A 15,850-nucleotide genomic window follows, 5' to 3' on the forward strand; every position below is an offset into this window, starting at 1 on the left:
GCACTCAAAATCAAGCACAATTTTCCAAAGACTATCAGATGTAAGGAGAACATGGTAAAATAGCTAACCTTTATTTCTTATGAGTTGAAATTGACTCAGGTGAGCCAAGAAAACACCCTGACGTCACTCTGAGTGTAGCCCCCTTTCTTCTCTTCATTCCCTTCAAATATACTTGGGCCTGAACAAAAATTTTGTTATTGATGACAAGGAGAATTCTATGGCTAATAATGATTATGATGATTGTCTTAGGCCATTCTTGCATTGCTATAAAGAAATACCTGAGACTGGGCAATTTATAAATAAAAGAGATTTAATTGGCTCACATTTCTGTCTGCAGGCCAGACAGGAAGCATGGCAAAAGCTTCTTCTGCTTGGCTTCTGGGGAGGCCTCAGGGAGCTTTTACTCATGGCGGAAGGTGAAGCAGAAGTTTGCATGTCACATGATGAGATCAGTAGCAAGAGACAGATGTTGGCGGTGGCAGGTGCCACACACTTTTAAACAACCAGATCTCTTTAGAACTCAAGATCGTGAGGACAACACCAAGACATGAGGGATCACCTCCATGACCCAAACACCTACCACCAGGCCCCACCTCCAACACTGGGTAAATTTCAACGTGAGATTGGAGGGGACAAATATCCAAACGATATCAGTGATGGTGTTGATCATGATGAAACTCAAAGCAAACTGTGGGTGACAGGCCCCTCATGGAACTAGCATTAGAACTCAGGAGGTAGGTAATAAGTAGGGTTTTGTTTGGTTTTGTTTTGTTTTCAACATGAACCATATGTATATGTATATATATGTATATAAATATATGACTTGTTCAGGGACCTGCTGTCCTAATGCCCAAGTTACTTCCTGCTTTAAATCCGGTAGCACAAGCTAATGGTGTTGATGTGGTTTCCAGAGATGCCTAACCTATTCCCACATAATGGCTTATGTTCTGGGAAATTCTGACTCACAGAAAAGACACAGCAGAAAGAAGAACTTAAAAGTCTAACTCCTATATGGCATTTCATTGTTTGTTAAATTGTACCTTTAGGCTTGATGAAAAATAAAATCAATAAAAGATGCTACTTTGAATTTACTTATAGCTACAAGTTGTGGGTTGGTTGATGGAAAGTGGTAACTTTTTTTCCTGGAAAAAAAATTATCAAGTATTAGACCATAGTCTTGCAGTCAGAATAGCAGTTAAAACAAGGTAAATAAAAGTTAGTAATAAACAGGAGGGAACATAGTTTTGGGAACACATCTGGTTCAGTGCTATAAGATCAGGTTTGGGGCCATTTCTCTTTAGTGTCTCCAATAGTTAATTTAATGTTAGAAGTGATAAAAATGAAATTATTTCAAAATTATGAACTAATAAAGGAACATTCTCAGTATTGAAAAGTAGAGGAAATGCCAAATAAAATAATTAGAAACATGGAAAACTAAATGAAACATTAGATAAGAAGTCCTCAAATGTATAATTTAACATAAAAAAAGACAACTGGAGATCAGGTATGCACGGGACATGAAGAGGGAGGTAATTTACTTGTGCAAAGTTCACTAGAGTGATGCTTGAAAGATCTGAATTCTAGTTTTTAATGTCCTCTAAATTAGCCTGGCAAGTCATTGCCTTTCTTGGTCCTCATTTTCTATATTTGTCAAATAAAGGGTTTGAGGGATTAATCCTAATAACGGGGCTCAAATATTCAAATGATTCCATGAAAAAAAAACAACAGAAAGAAAAGCAGGAAGGAAGGAAGAAAAGGTGGGAGGGAGAAAGGAAGAGAGGAAGAAAGGGAGTAAGGAAAGAGGGAAGGAAAAAAGAAAGGAAGGAAGGAAGGAAGAAAGGAAGGAAAGGGAAGGGAGGGGAGGGGAGGGAGGGAGGAAGGAAGAGAAGAAGTGAATGAGGAAGGAAAGAAGGAAGGAAGGAAGGGAGAGAGGGTAGGAGGTAGAAAGGAAGAGAGGAAGGGAGGGAGGAAGGAAAGAAGAGGGGAAGGAAAGGAAGGGAAGAAGGGAAGGAAGGAAGGAAGGAAGGATGAGAGGAAAGGAATGAGGAAGGAAAGAAGGAAGGGGGAGAGAGGGTAGAAGGTAGAAAGGAAGAGAGGAAGGGAGGGAGGAAGGAACGAAGGAAAGAACAGAGGAAGGAAAAGAAGGAAAGAAGGAATGAAAGGAAGGAAGGAAGGGAAGGGAAGGGAAGAGGGAGGGAGGGAGGGAGGGAAGGGAGGAGAAGAATAGGCAGATCCCTGCAGAAAGCCCCAGAGTAGTTTGTCTAATTTATGAGTTGTCCAGACACTCTACATCTGCAGAAAAAAATCATCCCAGGACACCAGAGAATAAATTCTTGTAAAAAATTGAGCATCCCAGGGCATGTTGTTCATATGCTGAGAATTCTATATTAGACTGTCTGGTAGACTGTTGCACCAACAGGCCTCAATAAATCACACTTTTCAGCATCCATGTCATTGTATGGTCCTCTCCTAATTGACTCTAGACTTAGCCCACATGGCTTGCCTCAGCCAAGAGGACATTGGTACATGTGTTGCTTCGGGGCTTGTCCTCCTGAAATGCTGCCACTACAATGTGAAAATATAAAAGAGCCAGCCTGGACTCCTTGAGAATGAAAGACCACGTGCAGGGAGAGGCCTGATAATTCCAGCCTGTTCCAGCTTCTAGGGGAGCTAGAATGGGACTGAGACCAGGCAAGACCAGCACTCAGCTGACCCACAGACTCATGAGAAATAGTGCAGTATTACCATTTAAAGCCACTAGGTTTTGAGTGTTTGTAATGCAGCAAACGATGACTTATCCAAATTGGAAAGATCAGGCAGACTACTAAAAACTTCTTATTAAGAGAATGTTCCCCAAATCCTAGAGCCTTAAAATTTTATGTGTTCAGCCTCATGCACAATCCCAACTGTCCCTGTGACTCTGTGACTCTGCCCCATGAATTTCTCCCATTCTCATAAGAAGGTATGTGAAGAAGGGGAAGTTAAAATAAATTTTATGATAACCAGTGGAGTTTACCATTTATAAGATGAAGAGACCATAAAATATAATGTCAGGACAACTTTTGGTGTGCAGATTAGATTTCTTTCCAGAACATTCTGTGTTTAGAGAGTTGATGTGGAGATTTTAGTCATAGACTCAAAGAAGGTGAGCACAAGCAGATACATAAAATGGCCTTCTAATTGAGGCTCCATTTTTCTCCCTTAGTCTCTCCCCATGCCAGCCTTCTTGATGTTTGACTCAATTGACCGTGGGATTTTCTAGGACCCCTGAGGCTGTTCTGGGCTTGGGTAAGTGAGATGGCTGAGTTGGATAACAACAGTCATAGGATTACATAAAAAATTTAGCAGTAGTGTTGATGCAGGATCATGTAGCTTTGTAAGAGGCCCCTAATGTTCTGGAGGGAGATGGTTTCACCAGCCAACAAGGAAATTAGAAATTCAAGCAAAAGAAGGAGACATAATTGTGTTGGTCATAGGCCAGTTCACCTGTTTTGCCTTCAAAGTTCCCATAAGCCCAAATGACAAGATAATGCAGCGGCTGTTTGGTATTGTAGTAGAGGTCTCTACCATATTAACTTAAAGCATGGGAGCTGAAACTGGTTCTGTGGTCTTCCTAGCACTGGCCCTCCCTCCCCATTCCTCACTAGTACGGAAGCATTGCAGTTCTATTCATCAGTCTATTTTGTATCCTTGTATCAGACCGCTCTTGTCTGGCTATAAAGAAATACCTGAGTCTGGGCAATTTATAACAAAAAGAAGTTTAATTGGCTCAGGGTTCTGCAGGCTTTGCAGGAAGCATGGGGCCAACATCGCTCAGCTTCTGGGGAGGCCTCAGGGGGCTTTTACTCATGGTGGAGGTGAAGTGGGACCACAGGCACATTACATGGCAGTGAAAGCAGGATGAAGAGAGAGAGAGTGGGGTGATGGGGGAGGTACCACGCACTTTTAAATGACCAGATAACGCAAGAACTGACTCACTATCTTGAAGATAGCACCAAGTCATGAGGGATCCGCTCCCATGATCCAAACCAGCCTCCACCTCCAGTATTATCTAAATTATATCAATTTTCTTCCTCCTTTTTATTCCTCTCACTGTAATTTAAGCCCTTGTTTTGAACATGTTCACTTTGCCTTCAATCTCTCCTTGTTCAGGTACTGCCAGATTAATCTTTCTAAAATACAGTACTCCCCTCTAAAAGCTCACCAATAGTGAATGAGAAAAGTATATAATTTTGGTCCTGCTTTCCTGGCTCCTTTCAGTCTAATCTTAAAGAATCCCACTGGCCATATCATTCCTAACTCCTCTTCATCACCCTAGAATCACAGTTCTCTATATAAGGCCATCTTTCTTATCTCTAAGCCTTTGTTCTTAGAATCTCTTTGCCTGGAATGCCTTGTGTCTCATTTCTGCTTGTCTATGTCAGATTCCTCCTTGAAGACCCATCTGAAATACCACATCCTCCATGAAAACCCTACTGATCCTTCCATGTTGATGTAATGTCTCTCCTCCTGAATGCCCACAACTTCATCTCTGTGGCCTTTTTGGCACTTATACTTTCTACTTCTTTATTTAAAGCATTATAATTATTTTCATTCACGACATTTTACCCTTTTAGATATTATGCTCACTACCATCAGGGACTGTTTCCTTTCATTTTCCCCCAGCACTAACAGAGGCTTACCACATGTTCGATGAACAAGCAGAAGCAATCATTCATTTTCCTTTCACGTGATCAATGGAAACTACACCCCTGTGTGTTCCAAGCATATCATGTGAGTACGAAGAGATGAAAAGCAAGAAGAGAAGAAATGCAGGAAGGGAAGGAAGAGGAGAGCCATGTATGGCTTTTTGACTCAAACATTCTAGAAGTAGCACCCTCAATTCTGTCTCTATCGTTTGCCCTAGGAAAAAAAAAAGTTTTATTATAAAAATATATAGCTACTGGCCAGGCACAGTGGCTCATGCCTGTAATCCCAGCACTTTGGGAGGCCAAAGCGTACAGATCTATTGAGCCCGTGAGCTCCAGAGCACTTTGGGCAACATGGTGAAACCCCATCTCTACAAAAAGTACAAAAAATTAGCTGGGCATATTGGTACATGCCTGTGGTCCCAGCTACTTGGGAGGCTGAGGTGGGAGGATAATCTGATCTTGGAAAGTTGAGACTGAAGTGAGCCTAGGTTGTGCCACTGCACTCCAGTGGGGAAACAGGAGTGAGACTCTGACTCAAATGAAACAAAACAAAACAAAACAAAACTATATATATATATATATATATATACACATATACACACACACACACACACACACACACACACATACACACACACACATATGTATATGTATATGTGTATGTATATATATGGCTTTTATGAAAGACTATGAAGAATTTAATAAAACATTTCATTCTAACTATAGTATTTGTTTAGTTGGATCAATATAAATTAAAAAGAAAATTATCTTACAAACATTTTCAAACTACTCTAAAGTGTCAAGAGAATTCTACATCCTTTGATTTAGACACTCTGAAATTCATCTTTGTGCAGTCAGTCCTTCATTAGGCATGAGGGGAATATACAATAAATAAAATAAATACACAAGTCATGGTCTAAAGTAATTTACAATCTAGTTGGGGAATCAAGAATAATGAAATGATTGAATAATAATTCAAGACGGCATATTACTAAAGTTGTAAGATGAATCATGTAAATACTAATCACTGTGTCAGAGTTCTAGAAATGCTGTATTTCAACACAATGGTTACTCAAATCAGTATCACTCACATTTTAGGGATAAAATATATATATATCACTGCATGTAATGAATAATAATTGGAAAAATAATAAAACTTCAAGAGAAAATAAAAATAGGACGGGCATGGTGTCTCAGGCCGGGCACGGTGGCTCACGCCTGTAATCCCAGCACTTTGGGAGGCTGAGGCAGGCGGATCACCTGGGGTCAGGAGTTCGAGACAAGCCTGGCCAATATAGTGAAACCCTGTCTCTACCAACAATACAAAATTCAGCTGGGTGAGGTGGCACACACCTGTAGTCCCAGCTACTCGGGAGGCTGAGGCACAAGGATTGCTTGAACCCAGGAGGCAGAGGTTGCAATGAACCGAAATGGTGCCACTGAATATCAGCCTGGGCGACAGAGCGAGACTCAGTCTCAAAAAAAAGAAAAATAAATAAAATAAAAGCATATGATTCTGTGACAGGATAATAACATCATCTCCATCAGATCACCTCCTCCTTTTATACAGAATAGCATCTCATCTTAGAACACTCAGGCTACAGGAACCATGCCTGAGGTTAAGGTATTCTATAGAACATATTAATAGCTATTAAGTTACAGAGCCACTTAGGCTTAATTTCCAAAAGTGAGCTTACTCAGGTTAATCAGGAAGGCTCTGGCTCTCTCTAGGCTAACCCAAATTTACATGCATTCATTTGTTCAACAAACATATGTTAAGTACTCACTGTATACCATGCACTGAGCTAGGCTCTGGGAACAGAAATATAATGAGGTTAAGTTCCAGCCTTCCTGATACATGCAATGTAACTGGGAAAATGAGGGTGTGCTGGGGACAGCATGGTGTAGCAGAAAGAGCCTTAGACTGCACGTTAGAGGTCTTGAGTCCCAGCCCTGGTTCCCCAACTGCCCAAGTTACTATGTAAACCTAGGCAAGTCATTGATACTCCCTGTACCCAAGCGTCTTTGTGTGTCAATTGAGGATCACAAGGGCCTGCCTCACCAAACATATTATGAGGACAGAAGGAAGTAATAGTCTGAAAGTTCTTTGCAAAGTTAATCTGCACAGATTTATGGTGTCATTATCATTTGTAGTTCACTCAGAGGACTAGAAACAGTATTGGAGCATTAAGTGTCATGTAAATCTTTAGTGACATGTTTCTTCCTTGGAATCTAACTAGGAAATACTGTCTTAAAAAAAAAAAAGTAAGATTGGAGTCTTTTGTTCCTGGGCATTTAATGAGACTGTTTATTCAAACAATTTGGAAACTCTGCTTGCCACATACCAAAACTAACAATGAAATTCATACTTTTAAGTTCAGTATTGGGCAGGAATTCTTCTTTCATTAAAGACTCTCAAGATAATTTCTGAAGCCCAGAGGCATTCTTCCTTTCTCTCTTGTGTGAACCATTTCTCTATTAAAAAGAAGTGTGGATTTGAGACTCTACAGGAACGTACTAAAGTGAAGCTCACTTATAAAATCAACTATATTACAGATTTCTTTTAAAAAATCTCCTCCATTCTTTTTATCCTTCTGGTATTGATTCCTCTGTCTCTTCTCATTTTCTTCTTCCTTGTTTTTTCTTTATATTTCCTCTCTGGGTCAGAATTTGATCTAAAAGAATCACTTGGAATTGTTTGGTTTTCCATCAATACCTTCTTATTGTACTTAAGATGAGTCACACACTGGGTGCGGTGGCTCACACCTGTAATCCAGTGCTCTGGGAGGCTGAGGTAGGAGGATGGCTTAAGGCCAGGAGTTCAAGACCAGGCTGGCCAACATGGCAAAACCCCATCTCTACAAAAAATAAAAAATTAGGCCGGGCGCGGTGGTTCACGCCTGTAATCCCAGCACTTTAGGAGGCCGAGGCGGGTGGATCATGAGGTCAGGAGATCGAGACCATCCTGGCTAACAAGGTGAAACCCCGTCTCTACTAAAAATACAAAAAATTAGCCGGGCGCGGTGGCGGGCGCCTGTAGTCCCAGCTACTCGGGAGGCTGAGGCAGGAGAATGGCGTGAACCCGGGAGGCAGAGCTTGCAGTGAGCCGAGATTGCGCCACTGCAGTCCGCAGTCCGGCCTGGGCGACAGAGCGAGACTCCGTCTCAAAAAAAAAAAAAAAAAAAAATTAGCCAGGCCTGGTGGCACATGCCTGTGGTCTTAGCTACTTGGGAGGAGCGTTTGAGCTTGGGAGGTTGAGGCTGCAGTGAGCAGTTATCAAGCCACTGCACTCCAGCCTGGGTGATAGAGTAAAACCCAGTCAAAAAAAAAAAAAAAAAAAAGAGTTGTTGCTTTGTTCAGGCTCAAAAGCTTGTGTGTGACTTGCAGGTCTTCAACTCTGAACCCAGGACTGAGTAGAAACTGGAGCCGAGTCATCTACACATCCAGCCGGCCATGAACCAGTGCAGCTTTGGAGGTAGCTCCCATCTGCTCTCCATCAAGAGACATAGGTGCTGTCTGTTAGAAGAGAGACCCGATGGTGACTTGCTTCACTTTCACTCTCAAATTCAGTAAGGTAAATGAGCTAGTTAAGTTAACGTAGTGTAATAACTATGTAAAGAGATTAGGCATCAGAAAGTCTTTGTTTTAATTCTGTATGCCACTGACTAGTTCTGTGATATTTAAATTGGTGAATGTGGCAATATAATTTCTATGAATCTAGAACCCTCTCTGTGAAGGGTTCAGGGAGCTACCCTCTTTCATATTTCTCTATTTGTGTAGAATGATCTGTCATCTATGGGCCATGCCCTTTCACTAGAAGCTATGCCAGGTGTTGTATACATTTAATTGTCCTTAAAATACCAACACACCAGTCAAAACCAACTCTGTTTCAAACTTAAACAATGGCACTTATCGAAGAGGCCATAAGCTGGCTCTGATTCAAACATACACTTAGAGGAAGAGGCAAAGTGTCTTACTTTACCAAAGGGCAGAATGCACTTCAACTTCCAGTTAGAGAAATCTGGAGGACACTTGGAGCCATGCATGGGGTGTGTGTGGGAGTGGGCGAGCCTTTGGTGCCAAAGAGGGAAATGCCTTCCTCAGCTAAAGGGCCAGAGGGAATGTCGGGGGTTTCAAAACCAGGAAGAAGTGGAAGGAAGGAAAGAAGTAAAACTTGTGTATGTTGCGCATCCCATAATAAGCCAGACACTGTCATCTTATGCATCTCATTTCATTCCCATCCTATTAAATGACAGTCTGGGTTTGGTGGAAAGTCTATCTCAGACTGAGTTTAGGAACTCACTCAAAAACCAGAATGAAGAAGATGATTATCTAGCCTTATATATGTTTCAGTAAAGTCCAGGAAGTGCCATTACTGCTTTTTCAACATTTCTCATAGCCAATTAACTTTATTTCCATATATTTTAGTGGCTCTCAACCTTGGCCACACATTAGTATCCCCTTGGATGCTTTGAAAAAATGCTGATATCTGCGCTCCATCTCATCCCAATCAAATAACTCCTTGGAGGAGTAGACAAAGAGGCAAATGTTACAAAGAAAATCTCCCTGGGTTATTTTAATATGTACTTGAGAACTGCTGTACTCATTTGCAGAAAATTCCTTATAAAACTAAAAGGGATTTGTGCACTTTTTGCAAAGATTGCCTGTAAGAGAGAAGCTAGGAAATGGAAACGCATTTCTGAATCTGGTCCAAAAAAGAGATGAGATTTGATTTTATGAGTCTAGTAGACCTTATCAAAACTGCCTGGGAAGATCCAAGGAACACCAGAATATTAGAAAAAGTTTGCTTCTGCTCCTTTCTCAGAGCTTTGACCCATAAAAAAGCACTGGTTACCATAGGCCACTGCAGATGTCCCATATCGTTGGGATAGCGACTGTCCAATTCCACCCATAAGTTTGAGGTGAGCAGTTCTCTGAGACACGGGCTGCTTGTCACTGTATTACAGAAATATAAGAAACCACCGGGCATGGTGGCTTACACCTGTAATCCCAGCACTTTGGGAGGCTGAGGCATGCAGATCACGAGGTCAGGAGATTGAGACCAGCCTGACCAACATGGAGAAATCCTGCCTCTGCTAAAAATACAAAAAATTAGCCAGGCGTGGTGGCACACACCTGTAGTCTCAGCTACTCTGGAGGCTAAGGCAGGAGAATCACTTGAACCCGGTAGGTGGAGGTTGCAGTGAGCCAAGATCGTGCCACCACACTCCAGCCTGGAGACAGAGCGAGACTCCATCTAAAACATATATATACACACATACATACATACACACACATACATATATACACATACACATACACACACACACACACACATATATATATGTATATATATATATACACACACACATATGAGAGACCAGAAATGTCTAATTAGCAACTCAGAGTGTGGATTTTAGAGAAAGAACTCCATAAAGGTAACTCTTGGAAAAACATTAAATATTACAGTAATGTAATTGATTCAAAGATGAATGTAAAGACCAATAATTTATCTTGGTGTTTATGAAGATGAAGAAATAAAGGCCCATACAGAACCATACACAAATGAAAATAGTTCAAAATCAAATCTAACTGCTCACAGAGAGCTGAAAACACAGCAGACCCTAAATATATTTTTAATGATTGATGAACTGATTAAGATTTATTTTGAGATTTGATCAGTTTTTAGTAAAGTTTAAATGTTTTTGTATTTTTCTTTCATTTGTACGTTACATTCACTGTGGTACAAGTGTATACCTGCTCTAACAGTTAAAAAGTGGTTGAGGTTTCTGATGCTGATCATAAAATATGACAGGAAAAATACTCTATTTTATAAAGAAAACATATGAAGGCAATTTTCATTGTCTGTAGAACTGAAATAAGGATTAATCTTTATCTCAGAAAAAGTGCAAAGTGGCTTATCCTGTCTTTCTGGCAACAATAGGGCTGGCAGTGTTGCACAACTCCAGGGGGCGCCTTACACATAGTGATCTCTGTGCTTGTCCCCTGCCCACCCACAGTTGTACAAGGGCCATGCTATGCCATTTTACTTGACAGCCCTGGGCAGCAGGGCTCCTAAGCAACAGTCCAAAAGGAAGGCCAAGGAACACATCCATTAAAATGTAGGCTATTTGTTTCATGGTATTCATTACCACGAATAAATGACAAATTAAAAATATTAGTAACCAATAAATAGATGTTTAGCTTTCTCTTTAAGTTCTGGCAGTGAACGCTGCAGCAGAGCATTCCTGAACACATGTTGGTGCTACCATGTTCCATGTCTGTGACTCGTCAGTGGCCAGCCCCTGTCAGCAGTCTTCCCCACATTCGTCCCTATAACACATCCTAGATCATGGAGGGGGGAAATGTTTTCCTCTGAGAGTACTGGCCCAAAGGGAGGGAAAAAGTAACTGAAGGCCCCACAAGTAATAGGCCACCTGATTTTTTTTTAGAGCATTATAAAACATTCTTGGCCAGGCGCAGTGGCTCACGCATGTAACCCAGCACTTTGGGGGGCCAAGGTAGGCAGATCACCTGAGGTAAGGAGTTTGAGACCAGCCTGGCCAACATGGTCAAACTTAGTCTCTACTAAAAAACAAACAAACAAAAAAAAAAAACAAAAACAAAATACAAAGTTAGCCAGTTGTGGTGACAGGTGCCTATAATCCTAGCTACTTGGGAGGCTGAGGCAGGAGAATCACTTGAACTCAGGAGGCCGAGGTTGCAGTGAACCAAGATTGCATCACTGCACTCCAAGCCTGGGCAAAAAGAGTGAAACTCCATCTCAAAAAAAAAAAAAAAAAAAAAAATTCGAATTGTCTACTTTTGAAATTAAGGGAAAAACATCTACCTTTTCTCTTCCAGACCATGCCAATTAAAAGAGGAAATTCCAGGAGTCAGCAGAAAGGAAACAAAAAGAGAAGGTGATAGAGGAGAGGGGAGACCAAGTGAAGAGGATGGAGAAGAAACTATAAAAATAAGAGAAGAAGAAGAGTTCATGGCAAATATAGGAAAGAGCCACGAGACAAGAAGGATGGAAATGGGCAGATGAGAGAAAAGGGAAGAGAGTCTGGGTTCTGAGTTGTTTGCATTATTTGTGTACAGCGTGCGTTCCTTTGGGCTGTCAATATTATTTCAAGATAGAAGCACCAAGGTGTTTCCTTACCTAATCTCTGAAGTGGCAGACCATCATCACTTCTGCCGGGTTCTATTGGTCAAGCATACCAACCTTTACAAAGTGGCAGGGAGCTATGCAAGGATGTGAATACCAGGAGGATAGGATCCCTGGGAATGACTTGGAAGGTAGGTGGCATGGTGGGCAGAACCCACAGCCTAGGGTGAGATGGCAGGAATGTGGAATTCCAGTACCTTAATGTGATATGAACTGATCTGAGTGAATGTGTTTGAACACTCACCACATGCCAAGAGCTCTTCTAATCTCTTTGCATGTAGCATCTCATTTAACCCTCTTGACAACTTACCGAGGCAGACACTCTTTATCTAGAGGAGGAAAGTGAGGTACAGAGGTTAGTAGCACAGTGATAAAGCTGTTATAAGGAAGGACTTGCCAGGACCTGGAGAGAGACTGGGTGTGAGGAAGGTAGGCTGTCACAGTGTCCTGTGGGATTTTTCCTAACTGATAAACCACCCTGTATGGTTCAACTGATGCATCCATGCAGGGCTAGGATTCATTCTGACCTCGTCATAGCAGCTTTCCAGGGGCCAATCCCACTCCAGCCTAAAGCACCCCATATGCTATCATTTAAACTGCAGTAGGAACTAAGCCTTACACCAGAAATTCCTCCCTGATGGGATTCCTGGAATTGTTCCTAAATAGCTGGGTCTTATTTCCTGACAATGCCGCCTGCCCCGAGGCTTGATGTAACTCTGCACAGCTTCTGCAGTTTGGAGAGGCAGGGAAATGCCATTTTGTGTTTGAATCCAGCAGGTCAGGCTCCTAAAGAGGTCAGGTAGTCCGTGGAGAGGACTACTGGTGTTTACTGTTTATTACATCTCTCCCAATACACAAAATCTGGGGTTCACCAAAGCAGGCGGTTTTCTTCCACATGCTCCTCTAGGATGGAAAATGCCCTCCAGTGGAAATGCCTTTCCACTGTGCTTCTGCTCAATTTTCCTCCAAGATTTCCTCTAACTGTGGACTGCCAGCTCCTCCCTGACGTCTTCAGGCACCAAGCCAACCTGTTCTTGTTGCAATCCTCAAGACTCCTTTCAGCATCTTAACTTTTCCCCCAGTTTTCTTTCATTTTCTCCACCTGTCTGTGTTGACTGCGGTCTCCTTCCTTCCAGCCTTTTCCTTCCTTCATCTTGTCCTACAAAGCCACACGTGTACCGACAAGTGCCAAAGAGTTTGATCATTTACTTAATGTCAACAAAAGAAAAAAAAAAAAAGCTCCAGAGTCGCCTTGGCCTGCAGCACCCAAGCAGAGTGAACAAGTGGGGCCTGCGCACCCTCCTACCCTACACCTAGCAAGGAACCCCGAGCTCTGAAACGTGGAAAGGCCCAGATCTGCAGATTTAATCTAAGTCCTGCAGTCCCCAAGAGATCACAGACTGCAGATCCCTGTCTCATGAACTAAGAGAGGAGAGGACAAGCCTACCCCGGACTACCGCAGCTCGGGGACAGCGCGCGGGCCAGGCGGCCCGAGATGCGCAGGCCACGCAGCCTCGCCGACGAGTGGCCCTGGAGAGCCTCCAGGCGCCCGGGTGGGGCCGCGATTGCGCCCCGCCAGTCACCCCGGCATGTGGGCGCGGCGGGGCGGCGCGGGCGGGACGGCTACAAGAGCTGTTTTGCGTCCGGGCCGGAGTATTTGCTCAGCCCGCCTGCGCCGCTTGGGACGCCTCTGCCTTTCCCTCCCTCCCTTCCCCGACGGCTTCTGGCGGCCAAGTGGATGTGGCGGGTGATCGAGCCACCCTGCCCAGGGGCGCCCAGCACTGGTAGGTGCTGGGGGTGGGGCGAGGCTTTGGGGAGAGTGTGCGTGGGGTGGGAGTAGGGGGAAGGGAATTTCCTCGGAGGTTGCATGGGTGCATGGGAGGCGCAGGGGCCAGAGCGGGCGGGCGGAAGCCTCACCCCCGCCTCCACCCCTTCGCGGCGCCCGGGGCGGGCTCAGGTGCGGGGTTGGGCGGCGAGAGCGGCCGCGGCGGGTGTCCGGTGTCCGGTGTCCGGTGTCCGGTGTCTGGAGCCGCTGGCTAGGTGAGCGGCGGTCCCCGGGGCCTGGGGGCTTGCAGGGGGTGGCGGGGGAACTTCGAGGGAGAGGGTCTGCCGGGGCTGAGGACCTTCGGGGAAGTTCTGGAATCCGGCAGGGACACGCGGCGCGTGCTTCCACCCGCGGGGAGTGCAGGCCCCGGGAGGGTCCGGGCTGGCCTAGAGTTTCTAGACTCCTAGCAGGAGCACGTCCTCGACTTGCGCATGGAAATCTTCCAGGAGGGAAGTCCCGGGAAACGGTGGCAGCTGGCGCAGCACCCCCGCAGCACGTTCCCCGCGCACCGGCACCCAGGGGCGCCCCCACGTGGGGTCTGGGAGCGCGCGGAGGCCAGTGCAGCGCCGCCTCCCTCGGGCTGCAGCGGCGGGGCTGGCCCAGACCCAGACCGGGTGCCCAGTGCGCTCAGCCAAGCGGCGCCCCTGCCCGCTCCTGGACTCGGGGGTCACGCGGGCACCGGAAGGAGCTACAGTTTGTAGGTTTTCTGAGTTGTCTCTCCCTTCCCAGGGAGCTTAGAGAAGCAGCAAGCGTGGCACCTCCCCCTTTCAAACAGATGCTCCTCATCGCTCCAAAGGCTTTCGTTTGATTGCTGGTTTAATAGAAACAACGACTTGGGTACGATTATTTTAAAATAGTGAATAAATAAGTGGAAAGCATACAGGGGCATAGATTTGGCATATGAGTGGAATTCTCTATGTATACTAAATCTGTGTGTACAGTAATCTCAAATTTCTGAAGAATAGTATATATTTACAAACTGCTGTCATCTCTGGTAATTTGTTTCATCCTCAAAAACAGCCCTTTTGCTGGTAGATGAATAAGATAAAGTTTCAATAAGAAAACAAAGTTGGACCACAGAGCTGGCTGTTTTAAAAGAATTAGAATTCAAACTGTATTGTTAATGTTATAGTTACACTGTCCATACCACAATACTTTTATTTATTTTTTATTTTATTAGGTCGGTGCAAAAGTAATTGCGGTTTTTACGTAAAAAAAACCGCAGTTACTTTTTTTTTGGCCATGTAAAACACAATAACTTTTGCACCGACCTAATGTTTTTAATTTTTGAGACAGGGTCTCCTTCTGTCACCCAGGCTGTGGTGCAGTGGTGCGATCTCGGCTCACTGTAGCCTCAAACTCTCCAACTCAAGAGATCCCCCCACCTCAACCTCCCAAGTAGGTGGGACTATAGGTGCGGGCCACCACGCCTGGCTAATTTTTATACTTTATGTAGAGACGGAGTTTTGCCATGTTGCCCAAGCAGGTCTTGAACTCCTGAGCTCCAGCAATCCACCCATGTCCACCTCCCAAAGTGTTGGGATTACATGTAGAACCACTGTGCCCGCCTACTATTTTTATGATTTAGCCTGTATCTAAGGCCTTTTAAAATTGTATTTTGTTTAGGTCTCAGAGTTATTCAAAAGACAGTTGTATTGTAGAACAGTGTGAAGGTGTGAGAATCAGGCCAAATCTATGGTATCATGGAAAACAACGGATTCTCTGACCTTTTAGCAATTGGTGTTCAGAATAAATAGCAGGTGTGGGCTTGTTGCTTATCATTTCTCTCTTTTAAGAAAGGGGCTGTGTTAGCTGAGCTATTCCTTTGTTGGATCTTGAATAACCGGAGATTTGCTGCCCTTGATATAGTATGGGAAAGTCCTCTGAGTTTGAATCAGTATCAGCAATGATTACTTCCTTGTCAGGGAGTGAAAGTAGGAAAGCCCTAGTTAGTTAATTTCCTGATTTCTATTTCTTCTACCCTGGCTCCACCAGGCTCCTTCGCTTCACAGTAGATTATGTCAGATACCCACACATTAGAAGTCACAGACTGAACCAGTCCTCGTTTCACAGATGAGGAAACTGAGTCCCAAGGAGGTGAGGTGACAGCACAGAGTCACACCGCTCACTAGAGGCGGAGCTGGGAGTTGAGGCTGGAGTGCC

The 15,850-nt window shown here is 44.0% G+C and overlaps 1 protein-coding gene and 1 long non-coding RNA gene across 9 annotated transcripts in view; both read left to right on the forward strand.

The window, feature by feature from the left end:
* Positions 1-345: 345 nt before the first annotated feature.
* LOC105379306 (uncharacterized) lies at positions 346-11,647 on the forward strand. Its single transcript, XR_949550.3, has 4 exons — positions 346-734; positions 3,206-3,288; positions 8,079-8,265; positions 11,556-11,647. It is a non-coding gene; the product is annotated as an uncharacterized LOC105379306 (long non-coding RNA).
* A 1,868-nt stretch (positions 11,648-13,515) lies between these two features.
* SH2D4A (SH2 domain containing 4A) overlaps positions 13,516-15,850 on the forward strand; it is an 82,526-nt gene continuing 80,191 nt past the window's right edge. For 4 of the 8 annotated variants that reach the window (NR_156444.2, NM_022071.4, NM_001363110.2 and 1 more), the window contains exon 1: positions 13,516-13,646. Coding sequence is in view for 1 of the 8 variants with exons in the window: in NM_001174160.2 (NP_001167631.1) it covers positions 13,601-13,646 (46 nt within the window). In the remaining 7 variants the exon portion in view is untranslated. Of the gene's footprint in view, positions 13,647-13,817; positions 13,903-15,850 lie in introns of those variants that run through there. The other 4 variants (NM_001174159.2, NM_001363111.2, XM_047422080.1 and 1 more) reach the window with 1 other exon arrangement.

The sequence above is a fragment of the Homo sapiens genome, chromosome 8, assembly GCF_000001405.40.
Source record: "Homo sapiens chromosome 8, GRCh38.p14 Primary Assembly".
In the NCBI taxonomy this organism is placed as follows: domain Eukaryota; kingdom Metazoa; phylum Chordata; class Mammalia; order Primates; family Hominidae; genus Homo; species Homo sapiens.